The sequence below is a fragment of the Homo sapiens genome, chromosome 7 (assembly GCF_000001405.40).
Source record: "Homo sapiens chromosome 7, GRCh38.p14 Primary Assembly".
Lineage (NCBI taxonomy): Eukaryota > Metazoa > Chordata > Mammalia > Primates > Hominidae > Homo > Homo sapiens.
Window position 1 is genome coordinate 128,135,505 of NC_000007.14, and position 13,873 is coordinate 128,149,377.

Below are 13,873 nucleotides of genomic sequence, written 5' to 3' on the forward strand. Positions count from 1 at the left end.
CTGGGACCTCCTCAAGCCAGGAGCAGGCTGTGAGAGGTTTCCCTGGAATGGGGGTCTGGGTGCCCCCCACCCCCGTTTCCACCTCCCGCCTGCACCGCCGGGAGCTCCGGAGGAGTTCCCGGGGACCTAGAAACAGCGGCGAGAGCGTGAGAGGGGAAGAGCTGGGGGTCCGGGCCAAAAGGAGGATGGAGGGGCTAGGCTTCTAGAGCGTGGGAAGGGGTCCCAGGGACCGAGCCAAGTGGAAGGCTTGTCCAGGCCCCCGCCTGCTCCCCTGGATCTGGAGGGAGCCTCCACGTGCTTCCGGCTGGGGCGGCACCGCGCAGTGCCGGGAGCGCCCACGAGGGGGCGCGCGAGCTCGGCGGCGGCGGCGGCGCCCCAGCGGGAGCGGGAGGCCGCGGGGCACAAAGAGTGGCGGGGCGGACCCTGGGGCGCCCGGGTTCCCTGTCCCGTGGGTCCCCAGCAAACCGCAGCGGTAGGAGAGGTGGGCTTTGCCTCTGAAGCACAGCAGGCCCTTAACAAGTTTTCACGGACTGAATGCGTGAGCTATGTAAGCCCTGCCGCATCGCGACGTTAGAGGTTTCCCAAGTTACGCCCCCGCAGGCGCTCTGATGCTGACATATTAAAAGAAGCCCGGAGGAAGAGGGCGACGCACGCGGGTGGCTTTAGGCCGCCTATTTGGGGAATAAATGACAGAAGGGGCGTGGTGGGGTGGGGAGGAAGCGGGTCCCCGCGCCCTGGGTTCCGATTCTGGCCCGAGGCTCAGCTAGGATGGCCCCAGATCCCAGAGAACGTCCTACCTAGTGCCCGTTTCTACACCTCCCCCTCCCGCCCCAGAGTTACGGGTTAAGGAGAAAGACTTGGTCAGAGAAAACGTGAGACGGCGCCGGGGCAGGGACCCTCCTCCCGCAGCACACATCCCACCCTCCTTGCTCAGACACAGGCTTTTTCTGGCTGCTTGTGCTTCTAGGAGGCGCCACTGCGGGAGTCAGCCGTAGGAGGGGTGGGCTTTGCCTCTGAAGCACAGCAGGCCCTTAACAAGTTTTCACGGACTGAATGCATGAGCTATGTACGCCCTGCAGCACCGCGACGTTAGGACCCCCTTCTCCAGGAGGGGTCCTTAACCAGCTCCCCCTCCTCTGTGGTGATGACAGTGACAACCCCAGGTTCAAATCCCTGTTAACCGGCCGGGCGCGGCGGATCATGCCTGTAATCCCAGCACTTTGGGAGGCCGAGACGCGCGGATCACGAGGTCAGGAGATCGAGACCATCCTGGCTAACACGGTGAAACCCCGTCTCTACTAAAAATACAAAAAAAAAAAAAAAATTAGCCGGGCCTGGTGGCGGGCGCCTGTAGTCCCAGCTACTCGGGAGGCTGAGGCAGGAGAATGGCGTGAACCCAGGAGGCGGAGGTTGCAGTGAGCCGAGATCGCGCCACTGCACTCCAGCCTGGGCGACAGAGCAAGACTCCGTCTCAAAAAAAAAAAAATCCCTGTTAACCACCTGGGGGAACTCTCCAGGGCCCCCTTTCTCCCCAGTTACACTGAGTCATGGGACTAATTAAGGCACCTGCCACAGGAATCATTGTGAGGGTTAAATGAGGCGCTCGAGGCAGCTGGAAAGGGAGAATCCTGTCTGGGAAAGGAGGCAGCTGGGCCTGGGACATCGGCCTGGGGCACGGGACTCCCCTGGGCCATGTAAGAGCTGGCCTTACCTGGCCCGTCCAGTGGAGGCTCAGCTAGAGGGATAAGCTCTCAGCTGGTAACAATGGCGGCTGCCAGTTTTCTGCTTGGGTAAGAGGTGGGCACCAGCCCTGTGAGCGGCCTTCATTGCCTCATAGAGTTTTGGAGAGTTGCACGTGCCGTGGGCCATAAACTTCAGCCATGAGTAAACATCACACAGAACCCTGTGCTTAGAGGCCCCTCCTCTGGGTTCTTGCAAACATATTGGTCAACTAATATGTCTCTGGCACGTGCTAAATGCTACAGCGGCAGGAATTCCTGACTCACATTTCTTTCTGCCTTTCGTGCCCTCCCCCAGATAGCTGCGTGGCTCTATAACTTCCTTCCAGTTTCTGCTCAAATGAACCCCTACCCGTGCAACCCTTGTCCCCTTATTCTGCTTTATTTTTTCCATAGCACTTATTACCACCTGCCAAATTGATTTATTTATTGTTTATTCTTCCCCATTAATATTGAAACCCCACAAAGGCAGGGACAATAATTTATTTAAAAATCTAGTTCTAGATTAAGGGTCCTGGGAGTACCCGCTAGAGACTATAACGGCAAAAAATGCCAAAAAGAGAGAGGTGGACATAGAAAGAAAAAGAAAAAAGCTTAAACAAAGGATTGAAACCCCCCACTGAAAATTATAAAATACATGAGGAATTCTAATGCTAAGACAAACAAAATCTACAATCAGAAGATGAATTCACTGCAGATGACGTTAATTTTATAGAATAGTTTGACAAATATTGTAAGTAAATGTGTTTGAGGAGCTTAAGGAAATGACTGAAGGAACAACTTCTATTAAATAAAAAAAAAAACCAAGACATTCAAATAGGCAGAAATGAACCAAGAAGTAGACATCTTAGAAATAAAATAAGTATTGGCTGTTGAAAAAAAAGTTATAGGATGAATTCCAAAATAGAAACAAAGAGTATATTAGTAAATCTGAAGATGGTAAAAAAAAAAAGAATTAGTTTAGAATGCAGCACAGACTGATGAAGAGACTAAAATAAGAACGAATTAAGACACATGAATGATGGATTAAAATAGACTCTGATGTATGAAAATAGGAATCTCAGAAGAAGAGAATGGAAAAATAATATTTGGAACAATAAAGCTAAGAATTTCCTGGATTGAAGAGGACATGAATTATTTGATTATAAGTGCACTCAAGGTGCCAAGCAAGGTAAATAAAAATAAGTCTACACCTAAGCACATTGTCTGCAACTGCGGAACATAAAGGATAACAAGACAATAGCAGAAGCTATCAAAAAGAAAAGATAAAATCCACCTAAAGGCATGTCTATTAGACTGTCAGCCTACTCCTCATAAGCAATGGAATAATATCTTTAAAGCCCTGAGTTTATATGCAGCTAAATTATCATTCAGGAACAAAGGCAAAATAGAGATATTTTCAGACATACAAAGACTAAGAGGATCTACCTCCCACAGATGTTCACTACAAGAAAAGTAATTCAGCAAGAAGAGAAATGAACCCAGAGAGAGGACGTGGGATGTAATAAACAATGGTCAGCATGGACATTGATAAAATGTTAGTACATTTAACTAATTTCCAACTTTAAAAAGAAAGTTTTTGTGACTTAAAAAAGGTAAAGTGAAAATTCCGAAAAGACAATATAAGCATAGGGAGGGGTGGTGTTCTGTTGGTGATTAAAGTAAACGAATGGACTTGTATTTGGGAGGAGAATAGAAATACTAGATTTTTGACAGTGTCAGAATAGTTTATAGTGAAGTGTGCATATTAAAAATGTAAAAGTAATTGTTAAAGGAAAAGAAATGCAATCCTTTCAAATCAGCAGAAGAAATGCAGAAAGCTTGATCAATCCAACGGAAGGTGAGAAAGAAGAAAAAAGAAGCAAAGAAAAAGGACGTAAACATATATGACAAAATAAGGTGGTAGAAATGAGTCCAAATAATCAGTAATCAAATTAAATGAAAACTGATTAAATTCACTAGATTGAATTTTTTTAAAAAGCATCTATATACTGCTTATAAGTAACATGCTTAAAACAAAACCATGAAATATAATTGAAATTAAAGACATGGAAAAGATATATCATAAAAAATACAAAACAAAGGAAGTTAATATAGCAATGCTAATATCAGACAAAGTTGGGCTTTTTGTTGTTGTTGTTGTTATTGTTTTTGAGACAATGTCTCTTTCTGTCGCCCATGTTGGAGTACAGTGGCATGATCATGGCTCACTGCAGCCTTGGCCTCCCAGATTCAAGCGATCCTCCCACCTCAACCTCCTGAATAGCTAGGACTACAGGTGTGCACCACCATGATGGCTAATATAAAAAAAAAATTTTTTTGTAGAGACAGAGTCTCACCATGTTGCCCAGTTCACCATGTTGAACTCCTAAACTCAAGCCACCTGCCTGCCTCAGCCTCCCAAAGTGTTGAGATAATATGTGTGAGCCACTGACCCAGCCAATTACATTTTTAAATGATTTTAAATGTAGTAAAAATAAACCAAACAAACAAATACTGATATGATTTGGCTCTGTGTCCCCACTCAAATCTCATCTCGACTTGTAATCCCCAGGTGTGGAGGGAGCAACCTGGTGGGAGGTGACTGGATCATGGGGGCGGTTTCCCCCATGCTGTTCTCCTGATAGTGAGTGCACACAAGATCTGATGCTTTAAAAGTGTTTGGCAGTTCCCCCTCTTCTCTTTCTTTCTCTCCCTCCCTGCCTCCCTCCCTCCCTCTTTCCTTTCCCTTCTCCCTCTCTTCTACCACCTTCTGAAGAAGGTACTTGCTTCTCCTTTGCCTACCCTCATGATTGTAAGTTTCCTGAGGCATCCTCAGCAATGTGGAACTGTGAGTCAATTAAACCTCCTTTCTTTATAAATTACCCAGTCTCAGGTGGTATCTTTATAGCAGCATGGGAACAGACTAATACAAATACCATTTTCACATTTTGAGAAACTTAATTTACAGTTTGAAAAAAAATCAAATGAGATGTACAAAGTATTTATAACTGAGTAACAGTGAGAGTTTTACATATCAAAACTTATGGAATGCAGTTAAAGCAGTGCATGATGATAAATTTATCATCTTAAATAAATTTATTAAGGAACAAAACAAAATAATAACAATTGAGTTAAGCATTCACTGCAAAGAGCTGGAAAAAACCAACAATTAAAAAATAAATGGAAGGAAATAATAAAGACGTAGAGTAGAGATTAGTGAAATAGAAAACAATAGAAAAGATTAACAACATAAAATCAGGTTGAGGAATAAAAGTCATAAGTTATATTAAGAATGAAGAGGAGTATTAGTATTACTATGGATAAAGGTAAAACTAGAAACTCATCAAATTAGCCAAGCACATAACAGTCTAAAATTAAAAACTACCTTCCCCAGACTCCCTTGCAGCTAGGTGGGCTCCCATGAATCTGTTCTGGCCAGTGGGATGTAAATAGAAATGATGAGCCCTGGCACAGTGGCTCATGCCTGTAATCCCAGCACTTTGGGAGGCCGAGGCAGGCAGATCATGAGGTCAGGAGATCAAGACCATCCTGGCTAACATGGTGAAACCCCGTCTCTACTAAAAATACAAAAAATTAGCTGGGCGTGGTAGCGGGCGCCTGTAGTCCCAGCTACTTAGGAGGCTGAGGCAGGAGACTCCAGCCTGGGCAACAGAGCGAGACTCCGTCTCAAAAAAAGAAAAAAAAAAAAGAAATGATGTGTAAAACTTCTATGAAGTCCCATTATAAAGTCCTTAGGGGGATGGCAGGGGGATGCCCTTCCCTTTCCTTTTTCTCATTCCTGCATCCTGGAATGCAGACTTGCTGGCTAATGTTAGAGCAGCCATTTTGGACCATGAGATGTGAGCCTCATATTGAAGACAGAGGAGAAAGAATGGAGAGAGCCCAAGTCTCTAAGGATTTAGGAACTTGCACTCCAGCTTGGGACTGCTGATAGAAATAAACTTCAGCCCATTGTGGTAGTGCACACCTGTAGTCCCAGCTACTCAGCAACTGAGGCTGAGGCAAGATGATCACTTGAGCCCAGGAGCTCAAGGCTGTAGTACGCAGTGATTGTGCCTGCAAATAGCTAGTGCATCCCAGCCTGGGCAGCATGGCAAGACCCCATATCTATAAATAAATAAACTTCTAACTTGTTTAAACTGCTCTTTTGTGCTATTTTCTGTTGCTTATAATCAAAACATAAACTTGTGTAATGAAACTGGCAAAAAGGATCTATCAAAAAACTAGTGGCAAACACAGCATAGGAGTCCCTTTGGAATCATTCCTACAGAAATCAGAACCAAGACAAAAATTCCTGCTAGCACTTCTACTCAGAATTGCATGTGAGAGCCTATGCAAAATGACAAAAAGGAAAAAGAGCAAGAAAAGATGTAAGAATAGAAAGAAAGAAAACACTGTTGTTAGTTGCAGATGTAATGAATTTCCTACATAAAAAATGTAGGCTTTCAGGCAAAGACGGCAAATTGAACGCATGAATCTAATTTTTTTTCCTCCTGATATTCCACTAAAATTACAGCAAAGGGATTTTAAAATATAGACATAACTCTACAAGGACAAGAAAAACAGGAGAGAAGTTACGAGCAATAACATTTTAGAAACTGGGAAGCAGATGGGAAAGAAGTTGCTGACTTAGCAGGTCCAAGAATGCCATATCCCAAGCTGACAGTGGTTAAGTAGGACACCACCTGACCCAGCGGCATCCTCACAGCCTCTGCCACTGCTGGGATGGGGTGTGATGGATGGGGATAAATAGGGATAACTGATTGAAAGCTGTTTAGGAAGCAGTTAGACCCAGGATCTCAGCACTCTCCTAGTTTTACACTGCAAAGCAATGCCCTCTCCCACCCTGGCAGAAGCTGGGGGAAGTATTTTTCTGGACTGAGAAATCCAGTTATGGAGACTGTATCCAAGAAAGAGAGAATTATTAATATATGCTTCACGAACGCTGAAACTGTCTGGCGTTCTTTGCTATTAGGTTCCCAAAAAGAAAGACCTAAAAGTACTAACACTGGGCTCCACCAAACCATCCATCCGGATGGCTCGGCAAAGAAGCTCAGAGTTGACATTCCCACCCCACCTCCCACCCCTCCCATGGGCTCAGAGCTTTCAAACAGCATTGTGGCTTCTCGCTCTTGGTCATAAGCAGACAACCAAGGATTATCAACATCTGAAGAAAGCCTCTAACCTGAAAAATAGGGGCCAATAAAGAACAAGCTGGCAGAAACAGACTATAAAAGAAAGCTTTAAGAAATAAAAAGAGCTATCATACATATCTTCAAAGGCAAAAAGAGACATTTTGCATGCATGAAATGAGAACAGGATGCAGTCTGTTTCTTACCAGGAAGCTGGACTAGCATAACTTCTGGCTCCTTCTCTAGAGATCAATGCTAGAGAAACCAAGAAAGCTCTAAGGATCCCCTGAGAACTGTTGGAGTTGTTCTCTTGCTTCTTGGAGTTGTTCTCTGCTGTTACTTTGGGAGCTTAGTACCTGCTCTGTGCACAGCTGCTGTGACTCAGACCTTTGGTCCAGGGGTCATTGAGAGTAAAATTAGAAGCCCCATACTTGTGAGGAGCCGAGAAAAATATATAGGGAATAACCATCCTTGGGTAGTATCTTTCTTCCCCCTTATTCTACAACCTCCTAAGGCTGGTAAATTATAATCTAAGTTTCACCTCCTAATGCTGCTTTTTCTCTAGGGGAGAGGAACAAGGGTACGAAGAATGATGCCTTGACACAAGAAGTTGTTTTGTGGGTGAGAACTGAGATTTTTCTGATAACTAGGGCTTTTCACCCTAAATCTCATCTGCTCTACCCTCACGCCCACAGAGGTAGTTGCAATCAACAAGCACAGAGGCCTGGCCTTCAGCATTGCCTGGCAGAATAGCCAGTGCCCTAGGGAAAAATCAGCACTAAGAAGCACAAATATTCCACAAGAAAAACAACATATTGTATTTTAGATTCTAACAGAAGCCTAAATATTAAAACAGATGGGCAAAAATCTTCTAATTTGCTTTATAAACATAGAAAGATAAAGATATAAGCAAAATAAAGCAAAATAAGAAAACATAAAAAAGAACCTAGGAGAAGCACAGCATTAGGTTTGAAAAATATAGTAGTTGAAATACAGTATTAGACATGGAAAGTATCACAGTTAAAATAAACAACATAATAGGATAATTACAGGCTGAGGAATGAATTGGAGTGTCAAATGAGGAAATCCTCAAGAAGGAAGAAGGAAAGGACAAAAAAATAGAAAACAAAAACTAAAAGACATGGAAGTCATTAAACGAAGCCATAGTCAAGGGGAGGAGAATTAGCCTCCATCTTTTGGAGGGAGAAATGTCAAATAATTAGTGGATAGTCTATACATCACACTCAGAGTGGATTTTTTTAAAGGTATGATACTTTGGATAAATCAAGATTGATATGTATCAATTTTAGGAAATTCTCGACCATTATCTCTTTAAAGCTCCCCTATTTTCTCCCCTGGAATTCTTGTTAGACATCTATCAGATTATTTTATATACTTAACCTCTTTTATAGTTTCTATATCTTAATGTATCTATACTGAACTATTGGTAGTATCTTCATATTTATCTTCCAGTTCACTAATTCTCTCCTCAACTAAGTCTTCAATTGGGTCTAATATACTATTCACGACATTCTGGCTTTTTTTTTTCTTTTTTTTGAGACAGGGTCTCACTCTGTCAACCAGGCTGGAGTGCAGTAGGGCAAACACATCTCACCTCAGCCTTGACCCCCCAGGTCGATTCTCCTGCCTCAGCCTTACCAGTAGCTGTGACCACAGGTGTGTGCCACCACACTCAGCTAATTTTTAAAATTTTTGTTTGTAGAGATTAGGTCTCACTATGTTGCCCAGGCTGGTCTCAAACTCTTGTGCTCAGGCAATCCACCTACCTCAGCCTCCCAGAGTAATGGGATTACAGGTGTGAGCCACTGCACCCAGCCTGGCTTTGTTATTTTAAAATTATATTTTTTACTTATAAGAGTTCTCCATAAGCCTTGGCAACATGGCAAAATCCCATCTGTACAATAAATACAAAAAATTTGCTGGGTGTGGTGGCGCCTGTAGTCCCGACTACTCTGGAGGCTGAAGTGGGAGGATCACCTGAGCCTAGGAGGTCGAGGCTGAAGTGAGCAAAGATCACACCACACTCCAGCCTGCATGACAGAGTGAGGCCCTGTCTAAAAAACAAAACAAAACAAATCAAGACAAAAAAAGAAAACACAGAGAGAGAACTAAATAAATAAAAGTTCTACATATTTATCAGTGGAGGTCAGTTCGTTCTTATTAGTAAATTTTGATAGTATTTTATTGCTAGTCAATTTTGCAATTTAATATTTTTTTCCTTACGTATTCCCTTACACAGTTATTTTACGTTACCTGATGATATCAATATCTGATATCCTTGAGGACCTAATTCTGTTGTTGATTGTTTCTCCTGGCTCTCACTCATGGAAGTTTGTCTCCTTGTGTTTTTGGTGACTAAAAAAAATTTTTTTAAGAGACAGGTCTCACTCTGTCATCTAGACTGGAGTGCAGTGGTGCAACCATGGCTCACTGCAGCCTCAACATGCTGGGTTCAAGTGATTCTCCTGCATCAGCCTCCTGAGTACCAGGAACTACAGGCACGTGCCACCATACCTGGCTAATTAAACAATTTTTTTTTGTAGAGACAAGGTCTCACTATGTTGCCCAGCCTGGTCTCAATCTCCTGGCCTCAAATGATCCTCCTGCCTTGGCCTCCCAAAGCGTTGGGATTACAGGCTTGAGCCACCACACCTGGCCTTTGGTGATTATCAATTGTGAGTTCACATTGGTAGATATTAATCTGTGAGAATCTTTGGGCCTTAATTGAGGATGACTTTCTCCAGATAAGATTTACATTTACTTTTTCTGGGTGCCAAGATGCCAACCTGCTCACTTTAACATCTTCCAGGGTCCCAGCTTACCACCTGGGTCCTGGTTTAGCTGCTTCTTGCTGCTGGCCCAAAGTTTAGTCTTGCAAAGTTATCTTGCTGCACTTACATGTGTGGACATCTGCACTCAGGGCAACCCCATTTCCCCTGTATGGTTGTTTTTTCCCGTGGTTTCAGCTCACTTGGTACCTTGGAGATTTCACTTATTTCCTGCAATCCCAGCTGTGCATGAGGAATCCTGCTTCCAGCAGGATAGACATGATCGTGACAAGACTTGTCAGGGTACCTAGGCTGTTACTTGCAGAAATGGAAGTCCCAGGAATTTTTTTACCATGAAAACACCCAGAAAAACAAACAGAGCTAGTAAGAGAATTCAGCAAGTTTACTGAAAGAAGCCAATATAAAAAAATTCATATTATCCCTATACACCAGTAACAGCCAATTAGAAAATATAAAAGAAAAAAATCATTTATAATGATAATACTCTTTAAGATGCTTAGGAATAAATCTAGCAAAAGATATACAAGACCTTTAAGGAGAAAAAATTGCAAAAATATTATCAAAGGACATAAAAGAAGATATGAATAAATGGGAATTTTTAAATGCTCCTGGGTAATACCCGTGGGTTGGAAGATGCTATCATAAAGGTGTCAGCTCTTCTCAATTTAATCTATAACTTTAATACAACACAAATGAAAATTTCTGTAGAATTTTTTGTGGAACTTGGCAAGCTGATTCTAATATTAATGTGGAACAACAAAATGAAAAGAAGTGCTAATATAATTGTGAAGTGTGTGGGAAGGGGACTTTCCATACAAAATATGAAGATTTATTATAAGTTGTACTAGCTCAGACAGAGTGGTTTCAGCACAGGGACAGAAAAGTAGCTCTATGGATTTAAATAGAGTCCAGAAAATAAACCTCGTCATATTTGGAAACTTGATATATGAGAGAGATTGCATTACATTTGTGGGGGAAAGAAGGACTATTTAATAAATAATGCTGGGAGAAATTGTTATTTTTATGGGATAATAAATCTCCATAGATATTATACAAAAACTCTGTGTGGATTAAGGGCTTTAATGTGAAAAGCAAAACTTTATAATTCTTAGAAGAAAATACATCATGATCGTGACATATCTTTGTGGCCTCAAGTTGGAAGGGGAAGGATTTTTTTTCTTTTTTGAGAGACAGTCTCACTCTGTCGTCCAGGCTGGAATATAGTGACATGCAAACAGCTCACTGCAGCCTCGACCTCCTGGGCTCAAGCGATCCTCCCATCTCAGCCTCCCTAGTAGCTGGGACTACAGGCATGCACCACAATGCCCAGCTAATTTTTGTATTTTTTGTAGAAATGGGGTTTCACCATGTTGCCCAGGCTGGTGTCAAACTCCTGGAGTCAAGCGATCTGCCTGCCTTGGCTTCCCAAAGTGCTGGGATTACAGGGGTGAGTCACTATGCCTGGCTTGGATTTCTTAAACAAGACACAGAAGCTCTTTTTTTTTTTTTTTTTTTTGAGACAGAGTCTCACTCTGTCACCCAGGCTGGAGTGCATTGGCATGATCTCGGCTCACTGCAACCTCCGTCCCCCAACCCCCCCGGGGTTCAAGCGATTCTCCTGCCTCAGCCTCCTGAGTAACTGGGATTACAGGCATGCATCACCATGCCTGGCTAATTTCCATATTTTTAACAGAGACGGGGTTTCACCATGTTGGCCAGGCTGGTCTAAACTCCTGACCTCAAGTAATCCACCCACCTTGGCCTCCCAAAGTGCTAGGATTACAGGCGTGAGCCTCCACGCCCAGCTAGAAGCTCTTAATTCAAAAAAATGATTGATACATTTGACTTCATTAAAATTTAGAACTTTAGCACAATAAAAGATACTATGAACTTAAAGACAAGACACAGATTGGAGAAAATTTTGCAATGCAAATAAGCAACAAATTAGCATCTAGTATATATTAAAAAGTCTTACAAAAGTTTTTTTGTTTTTTTTTTTAAATTTGCATCACAAATGATGCAAACAGACATTTCAAAGAAGTGGAAGCCCAAATGGTCAATAAGCATCTGAAAAACTGCTTGACCTCAATAGTAATCAGGAAATTGCACATTAAATACACATCAAGATAGTATTGTTGGATATTAAACATTTAATATTAATTAACGTTTGCACTCTTAAGAGGGTAAACTGATATAACCACTTTCGAGAGCAGCTTAGCAAAATCTAGCAGAGCTGAGGGGTATATCCCTACACCCAGCAATTCCACTATAGGCATATTCCCTAGGGAAGTTATTACACATATTCATAAAGAGACTGTGTACAGGAATGCCCATACTCCCCCAGCACTGTTTGTAATGATGAAAACTAGAATTACAGGAGAATGGATAAATTGTGATGTATCCATATAGAGTGCAGTGCAGCAGTTAGAGTAAATGAACAAGAGCTACATATATCAATGTGGATGCCTCTAAACCCACAGGATCTAAATCAAGCAAGGCAGAAGAATACATACTGTATGATGCCATTTATAAAAAGTTTCAAAATATGTAAAAATATGCAAAACAATTCTATATATTGTTTATGGTTATAGTTACTATATAAATGTGTAGGAAATGTATAAAAATCTGGATGGGAAGTAAATACAACAACATGTTAAAAATTGATAAAAGCTGAATATTTGATAAGTGGGCACATTGGCATTTTAATATATTATTCTCTTTACTTGTCTCAAGTTTTGAAATGTTTCATTTAAAGAAAGCATTCTGTAGCCGATGGAGAATGGATTCGAAGCAAGGGAGACACAGTGGTGGTTTTTGCAGTGGGATGGGTGGGAGAGGTGGTAGAGAGACGGGGAGGGAGGAGGGATTTTAAATTTGGCCCCGTGGATGTGGGTTTGTTGTTGTTGTTTTGTTTTGTTTTTGTCTTGAACAACTATGTGGATAGGGGAGGCTAAGTAAAAAGTTTTAAAGTGATAATTTCAAGTGTTGTCATTGGTGTGGGGAAATAGCACCCCAGTGCTGGTCTGGGCATAAATTGGCTCACTGGCTTTGCTGGTAATTCAGTGGTGACTCCACTGCTGGTCAAACCCATGTGCAGGCCAGGCACAGTGGCTCGAGCTTGTAATCCCAGCACTTTGGGAAGCTGAGGCAGGCAGATCATGTGAGGCCAGGAGTTCAAAACCAGCCCAGGTGGCAAAGTGAGACTCCATCTCTACAATCAATCAATCAATCAATCAATACCCATGTTCAGGGAGTCCCATGAATGGACATTCAGTGCAGCAGCAATCTCAATGTCCCACCAAAGAAGAATGGGTAAGCAGACTAGGTACATCCTTGGATTGGTGTCCGATGGTACCTGCCTTTTGTCTTTGCCAGACTGATGCCTTAGAATCTTGACTAGACCCATGGCACAGGGAGTAGAACAGGAAAGTATCTGTTTCTAAGGTGCAGCAAATGATGATAAACCCCTAGGCTCGAATGCTGGGTATGGATGTTGGGAGTAGACACAGCCACCTCCAAACGGTGAGCCCAGAATCCTTTAATTTTCTAACCACGTGGCATCCTCACTCCTTACGGGACACTGTGAAAGGCAGGCACCCCCTTCCTATCCCACTGGGGTAGGGGTGGGGGCAGGTATGGAGTGTGGGGATGAGCCAGTTCTGTGCATTTGCACCATTAAGAAGCCTTGAAAGAAAACGTAGTCAAGTCCAAATTCCTCTCTCCAACCCTTGAAACTGGGCAGTTTGCCAGTGTCTAGCCTCTCACCCTACCTAGCAGTTATAGGAAATGAGTTAGAACAAATATATAGCAACATGGGTAGATCTCAGCAAATCATAAGGAGTGAAAAAAGCATGATGCTGAATGAAAGGTGCAGCATGACACTGGTTTATGTAAATAAAAACCGCATAACAAAGTTGCATAATTTCTGTAGACACAATTATGTACCTGAAACGCAGTTTTTAAGATTGGAAAGAACTCATCAAATTCACGAGAATGTTTCTCCTGGTGGTGGGAAGGGATCAGGATGGGAAGGTGGTGGAGGTCAGGCGAGATGAGTGGAGGTGGTGGAGGTCAGCTTTATTCATTATGACTAAAATTTTTTTGTTAAGGGACACTGTATTCTTATTTATATACTTCCAAAAAGTATAAACATAAAATACAAGACAGAGGAGCAAAAATGCCAAAATGT

The 13,873-nt window shown here is 42.5% G+C and overlaps 3 annotated features.

The window, feature by feature from the left end:
* Positions 237-426: a silencer, noted in NCBI's record as "silent region_18601". NCBI's record gives its function as "represses an Ori minimal core promoter by ATAC-STARR-seq in GM12878 lymphoblastoid cells {active_cell/tissue: GM12878}" and the evidence as "EXISTENCE:reporter gene assay evidence [ECO:0000049][PMID:35858748]".
* Positions 237-936: a biological region, named in NCBI's record as "H3K4me1 hESC enhancer GRCh37_chr7:127775918-127776492".
* Positions 362-936: an enhancer, noted in NCBI's record as "H3K4me1 hESC enhancer chr7:127775918-127776492 (GRCh37/hg19 assembly coordinates)". NCBI's record gives its function as "activates a minimal SCP1, AML or CMV promoter by ChIP-STARR-seq in naive H9 embryonic stem cells {active_cell/tissue: H9 hESC(naive)}" and the evidence as "EXISTENCE:reporter gene assay evidence [ECO:0000049][PMID:30033119]".